At 40.6% G+C, this 7,314-nt stretch overlaps 1 pseudogene across 1 annotated transcript; it reads right to left on the bottom strand.

Annotated features, from left to right (window-relative positions):
- On the bottom strand, positions 947–3,454 carry DENND10P1 (DENND10 pseudogene 1; annotated as a pseudogene). Its single transcript, NR_027141.2, has one exon. The product of NR_027141.2 is annotated as a DENND10 pseudogene 1 (transcript).

Genomic DNA, 7,314 nt, shown 5'->3' with positions numbered 1-7,314 from the left:
GAGCCAAGATTGTGCAACTGCACTCACTCCAGCCTGTGTGACAGACGAGACTCTGTCTCAAAAAAAAAAAAAAAGATGCTGAAGGTGCTGATAAGAATAGACAATATGATAGGGAAGAAGGAATTAAAATTTTATAAAAGAGGAGTCAATAAGACAAGCTTGTAGTTCAGTTCAGTGAAATAATGAGGCTATAATGTTCCGCCTCCTCCATAAAAGATCATGTAAGCAGCCATACGGCTCTTAACCTTCAACTGTTAACACCCACTTCTAGCAGAAAGAAAGTATCAGGTAGGCATCTTATACCGGGACCACCTCAAACCCTTTTTGAAAAAGAAAATATAAGTGAATTTAAGTTCACTATATTATAGAGGTGACAGAAGAGTGAGGATATCAATTTCACATATGCAACTGACTCATATCCACTATAACAAGGCTGTCATCTTCTACCATGCAGACACAAGGGACACACATCTTAAAACTCTAATGAAAACCCAATTAGCACACATGCAGTTAGGAATCCTTTTGTCAATCTAAATGGTTAAAAACAGGAGCTGTAATCACCTTTTTCCCAGATGAGGTCTATGTATATGGTTATATGGTTGCCTCTGTCAAGCTGTGAGGAACAACCAAGAATTGTCATTGCCGCTAGCTTGGAGGATCTCCAGCACAGTTATTATGCTGGTCTGCCTCCCACACAGAGGCAGGCCGTGTTCTCATGGAACAGAAAGTAGTTGTTCCCTTCTCCCAGAAGACAATTCTGGCTAGTTAGAGCCAAAGTAGCTTTAATTAGACAAGATAGTATAAAGGTAATTTTCTTTTTTTTTTTTTTGAATATCAAAATATTTCAATTTTATTTCTGCATCATAAATTTATAATTTTAACAACTTTGATCATTAGCTAATACAGTAATACAAAAAAATGAGAAAAAAGATGTTAATATTTCTCATTTCCATAAAGTGCAGATTTAATTTTCAATTATTTGCCTTAGTAAACATTGTCTTATTTCAGGTACTCCCTGCCCTCACTCAAAAAAAAGGGAGGGTGTTTAATTTTTATTGAACAAATATGTAATACCAAGAAAAAGATGAAAGATCCAATAATGTTTTTTGCAAACATGTTTCCAGGTAAGATTTCCAAGGACATCAGTACTGAGTGAAAAATAATCCTTTACAATCAATATGAATGAATACACTAACAAGTACATCATTTAGACCTCCATGCTTATTTGGCAATTCCAGTTATGAAAAAGGTACATAAATAATACAAACAATTGGCTTGACATGTGGCCAAACTACTTTCACTGAAGTTGCTGGAAGCCTTTCTCTGGTTTTGGCCCCTGTAGGAAGTTAATCTCATATTCCCTTAGCAATAATATAAGGTCACTGTTTCAGTCCTACACACTTTTATATTCAATGGGCTTCTTAGTTTATCACATAAGGACTGGCACTTTTTTCAAAAGAATATTGCTAACAGGGTTAAATGAGTGCTAATGGCTGAACGTTTGCCAAATGCTTACTTCTGCGATAGTATAAATATGGATTATTAAAGTTGTCTACTCAAGTATAAAATATATGCAAAACTCTCATAGGCAAAATGTTCAAAGGCCGGGAAAAACCTTTTTTTTTTTTTTTTTTTTAACTTTTACGAGAAAGTGCAACTGCAGGGTCTCTTGAATGATCTTCTAGACAGTTCCGCAGAAAATTAGCAGTTTGGCTCAGAAAGTAGAGTTCCTCAGGAGAAATTAAAGTTCTTCCTAGAAGAATACAAAGCAACGTTTCAGGCAGCTTTCTGAAAATAAACCATTAGCTTATGCCTACACAGCGAGACAAACTGGAACGTGTAATAATGAAGGCTTTCACATTTGTCGTGATGTGCTTTTTTCCTCTTACCCCAGGACCTCTAGCTGTTCTGTAATGTTACATAAAGTAGTTATAGCACTTCGTCCAGCACTGACAGCAGGCAGGAAGCTAATCAGCGAGGAGAAAATCGGAAGTGTGTTCATGTGTTTCATTGTTTTTCAGGTCAAATCTCAATACTTGCAAATAAATCATTAAAAAGATATAACAGTTTCTCTGTTATTTTCAGGACTTCATGTAGTGAGTGGGTAATCAGAGTGAAAGAGGGCTTTCTATCAGTCATCAGTGATACGTTCTGTCACACAGTCAGATTTTCAGCATTTGTTCGGCTGCTGCTAGATGATAAAGGAAGTTTTCTGTTGCTGGTGGAAATCGTTTTTGCTTTAGCGCCTCCAAATTAAGGACTCTCTTTTCTCCATCAGCCGAAACTTCTGAAAACGGTGCTAGGTTGGTAAAGATTTCTCTTGTTTTTAGAGCAATATCCTGTATAACCTGGCTCTCTGATTTCTCTGGATCTTCTGCAGACTGAACAATTAGCTGACCCATTTCTTTGTGCAGTTTGCCCATTGCCATGGCCTCTTTTGCAAGGGGAGCAATGGTAATCTCACTCTCTGCCAGATTCACAAACACATCATAGAGGTCTGGTCTGTTGCTCACCTCCAAGTCTACAAATCCAGCGACGTAACCTGTGCACATCTGCAGGGCTTCCAGCTCATCGGCGTTGAGGTGCACGTAAGAGTGAAGGATGGTCCAGTCCTGTCGGTGCCACACCAGGGCAGGCAGAGTCCTGGTGAACTCCTGGACCGCTTCTATCTTGGGGTGATACACCACAATTCTTTTCTTTAGCATCAGTGCTGTGTGTAAGATAACAGTTTCCATTCCAAACTGAGATACAATGTCTTTGATGGAGCCAGCCGGGTAGGCCTTTCGGGCATCAAAATCCTTACTAAGGAAAGAGCCGTTTTCTTCACTCTGGCATATCCCCTTTGTGAGAACTGCAATATAACTCTCCATCATTTTAACTGGGCTCCCATGTTTCAGGTACATTCTACACAATATCCTAGTGAAGGCAGCATACTTCTCTGGGTTAAAATCTTTGGCGGTCAGGACAATAGAAAAATGAGTCACCTTTTTCAAAATGGAAGAATCTGGAACTTCAATTATTGTGATATAAAACCATGTTCTTCTGTACTGACCAAAGACAAAGGGATGGAGAAGTTTGTTTTCATCTGTAAGGCAGCATTTTCTCAGCAGCAGGTTCCTTAATGTGGCTGTCGTGGAAGGATAACACCACACCCACAGAACTTCTCCATTTGTGTCCTTTTCGATCAGCCCGACTCCAAGCATCAGCTGAGTGTCCGCCAACTCGGCCGCAGCCATCTTCCGCCGCCGCGGCGCGCAGCTCTAAAGGTAATTTTCTTTCCTTCCCATCACACGTCTCTACCCCAGGGTCTCTCAACTTTGGCACTATTAACATTTGGGGCCACAGAATCCATTGTGGAGGGCCATCCTGTGCACGGTAGGATGTTTAGTAGCATCCCTCTACCCATGCCAGAAACACAACACCCATCATTTGTGACAATCAAAAATGTCTCCAGACATTTTCAAATGTCCCCTGGAGGACAAAATTACCTCCCATCGAGAACCACTGCCTGTCATCTCCCATTTCCTCCGCCACAACCCCATATGTAGATCGGCATATGGCTCTCCTCTTATTGGGCATGGAAGGATGAATAGAATCTATCTGGGATACTTTTGTCATCCCCACTATTAAAAATAAATGTTTCATTATGTTTCTTTAAGCAACTCCCTCAAAGAGAAAGAAAATGAGTGACACTCCCATGGGTCAGAAACCACACCAAGGACAAAAATTTAATTGAAATGTTATCATTAGAAATGAGTAATTTGTGGAAAGACTGGATTTGGTAATGACCTGCTTATCATGCAGATAAATCCTCTATTCTCGTCTATCAAATGATGGATTTTGAGTAATTCTCACCAACAGTGCTACAGCTTCTATTGCCATCTGCATTAGATGCCCTAACTACTCAGTTGGTGTCACTGCCTCCACACTCCCATGAGCAGGGCAGCCCACATTTTGCAGTTGACAACTCTCCAAGCATGATCAGAGCCCTGAGTTTTCCACAGCCCCTGCTTCTGATCTCTCCTCTGTACTTCCCCATTCCCAACAAGATTCTGAGGTATTTTTTTCAGCCTGTGCATCACTAGCTGCTGCTACTGCTGCTGCCACCCCTTTCTCAGCAGTTCCACCTCCTACGGAAGTTTTTTACCTGCATCTCACTTGTTCCACCTGGAGAACTATCCTTGCAGATTGCTGAATGGAACCACAGCACTAGGGACCTAGTGAGGACCAAGACATGGGTCTTGCTCAAAACCCTGCCCTTCCTTTGACTTGGGACCTTTCGGGCCCAAAAGTAATTTATGTCACTTCACTGGCAGCAGAAATATTTTATTCTGCCACATATTTTTCTGCAGCAGTGGAGTGTGCCCCCAGTATTGCCCACTCTTGTTCCCCTCTTCCTTTTAGAAAACCCCACCTGAGTAGTAGCTGTCATTTAATGTTTCAACCCGCTTCTTTAGTAGGCTTCCTGAACACATGTAGGGCTGGCACTATTTGTTGAATTGAAGTGTCTTCCTTTGTTTTGCTTTCTAGCTCAGTCATTGATTTTCCTAACATACTCCTTTAGATTCTGCCTTTGTGGAGCCCCCAAAATGGCTCAGACTTTCAGGAAGCTTCCCCATCTTACTGCTTCTTTTCCAAAGATGGCGTCCATGTGCCTGAGGTAAGAGGTTTGACTTATGTTCTTACTCCTCTAAGCGTCAGCCACATGGGCATCATCTAGGTGCTTATTAGAAATGCAGATTATCAGGCCTCACCCCAGCCCTACGGAATCAGAATCTGCATTTTAACAAGATCCCAGTGTGGGTATGCATGTTCAAGTTTGAGAAGCACTGGCCTCCATGACCTCATAAAGGCAGAACAAAGTCAGGGTGCTTAGACGAAATGTCCTCTGCCTCCTTGGGTCTCCAAACAGATGTTTCTGTCTCCACTCAGATAGCGCTTAGCCTACTGGCATTCAAAATTTAAGTCTGCCACTAGTGTACTGACTCATGCTCTGGTCTCCCTGGGCTTAGTAGAGCCCTCTGGCTTTCTTGTCTATCCCCCACCCCAATTCTGGTTGGCTTCTCTATAACACTCAGGGTAGAGTCCTCTCACTTCCACCATAGTGACTCCCCCTGGCCAGCTCCCCAGCTAGACTTTCAGCCCCTTCTGGACCATGACTATACCACATGGGAACCAAGAGTGGCTTAAGAAACCAAAACCTCAGAGAGAACCTTGCTGGGCCTGACTGCACTATACTGCCAAGTTGCTGGGCCATGGCCCAGGTGAGGAAAAGGTGGAAGCAAGGACTGGGGGAACCTAAGATCTATCTTCCTAGAGTCTTAAATGGAGAGTGGAGCTATAGTTCCCCTTGTTTGCTCTCCATGTTAACTTCAATTATCTAAAGCAACCAAGGCCCAGAATAAGGCAAATGTGAAGCCACATCTGATTTCTTTGCTCTCCAGCCTCTCTCTGACACTACTCTTCCATCTTCTTACTATCTCTGAGCTTCTAAAGGAGTGATCTTTCTTTGGTACCTTTCTCCTAGGTCATATACCCCTTCTTCCTGACCCCAGATAACCTTTAATGGTGGCAAGGCTATCTCTAGTAGCTAAGCATTCCAGGTTGTTGCTACACAAAACAGGGAAAAAATTTAGGGAAATTCTTGAGACAATCATGGCTTACAAGGGAACTGTCTTGTTGTGTCATCCTATTTTGGGATGAGAGGTGCTGAATATTACCTTGGTGTGTATCATGGAATTCCTCCTGTTACAAATTATTGAGTAGACTTCTCTACTCTACCTCCCCTACCTCCACTACCAAACCAGTAGATGCCTATGGAAGACTAGGATAAAGAGTACCGAAGGAGTCAAGAATTAGAAATGATATAAAATTTTTGAAATAATAGCCCTGTTGCACAATGGTTATTTCACATCTGTCAGGCCCCAAAGGTAAGCACAGGAAAAATATGGGCCTCCTGACCTACATCTAGAATACATTCTCATTGTAAAAAGATGTAGAATATAAAATACATATAATATTTTTGCAACAATGTTATAAAGTTGGCAAAAGGCAGGACAATCTCATAAAAAGGGGCAAACAGGCATTTCACTGAAGAAAACGTATAGATGGCAAATAAACACATGAAAAGCTGTTCAACATTATTACTCATCAGGGAACTACAAATTAAACTACTGTGAGATACCACTACACATTCAGTAAAATGGCTAGAATATACTTGTTCATACCAAGCATTTGCAAAGACCAAGAGGACCTAGAACTCTCTTACACAGCTGATGGGGATGTAAACATGGCACAACCACTGTGGAAAATAGTTGGGCAAATGAAGTTACACTTGCATCTACCACACAATTCAGTCATTACACTCCTAGGTATGTGCCCAATAGAAGTGAAATTATACATCCACATAAAGAATCAAACACCAATGTTCATAGCAGCATTATTCATCATAGCTGAAAACTGGAAACAACCTAAATGCCCTTCAATGGGTAAATGGGTAAACTGTGATACATATATACCAGGGAATACTATGCAGTAATAAAAAGGAATGAATTACTCATACAGGCAACAATATTAATGAATCACAAAATAATTATGTTAAATGAAAGAAAACAGTACAGACAAAAAATAGTACATCTTGTTTGATTCCCTTCATACAAACTTCTAGAAAGTGCGAACTAATTTATAGTGACAGCAAGATTGGTGATTGCCTGCGGGACAGTACAGAGGGGGATGAACTATAAGAGGGCAAAGGAAACTTTTGTGGGTGATCAGTATGTTCACTATCTTGATTGTAGTGATTGTTTCATGGGTATGTATGTATATATATATGTCAAAACTGAACAAATTGTACATTTTAAACATGTACAGTTTTGTACTTCAATCATAATTTAACAAAGTTGTTTAAAAATGATATGATTTCCCTTTTACTTACTTTTAGGGCCAGTTCATCATTCTCAAAATGGTACCAAGATTGCTATCAAAAAGTGAAGAAGCAATTACATCCTTGATGGAATGTATAGAGTAACACGACAGAACAAAAAGAAGAAATTGTGTTTCAAATGTTTGTATTGATCATTAGTTTGTCTAGTTAACTTATTTCTATAGGATATCCCATTCACTGGCTTGGTGCTGACTAGCTAGAGATCATTGTGTTAAGACACAGGTCACACCCCTCTCCCTGGTAAAGAAGGTGCTGAGTAAGCTTCATGCTAAATGTACCACGCAATTTAGCAGAAAGTAACTTAAACATTTGATGATGATGATGATGATTATGGTGATGATGATGATGATGATGAAAGTTAACATTTGTTG

Source organism: Homo sapiens, chromosome X, assembly GCF_000001405.40.
Source record: "Homo sapiens chromosome X, GRCh38.p14 Primary Assembly".
In the NCBI taxonomy this organism is placed as follows: domain Eukaryota; kingdom Metazoa; phylum Chordata; class Mammalia; order Primates; family Hominidae; genus Homo; species Homo sapiens.
The sequence above is the reverse complement of the archived record's forward strand: the minus strand, read 5'-3'. Positions and strand labels throughout refer to the sequence as shown.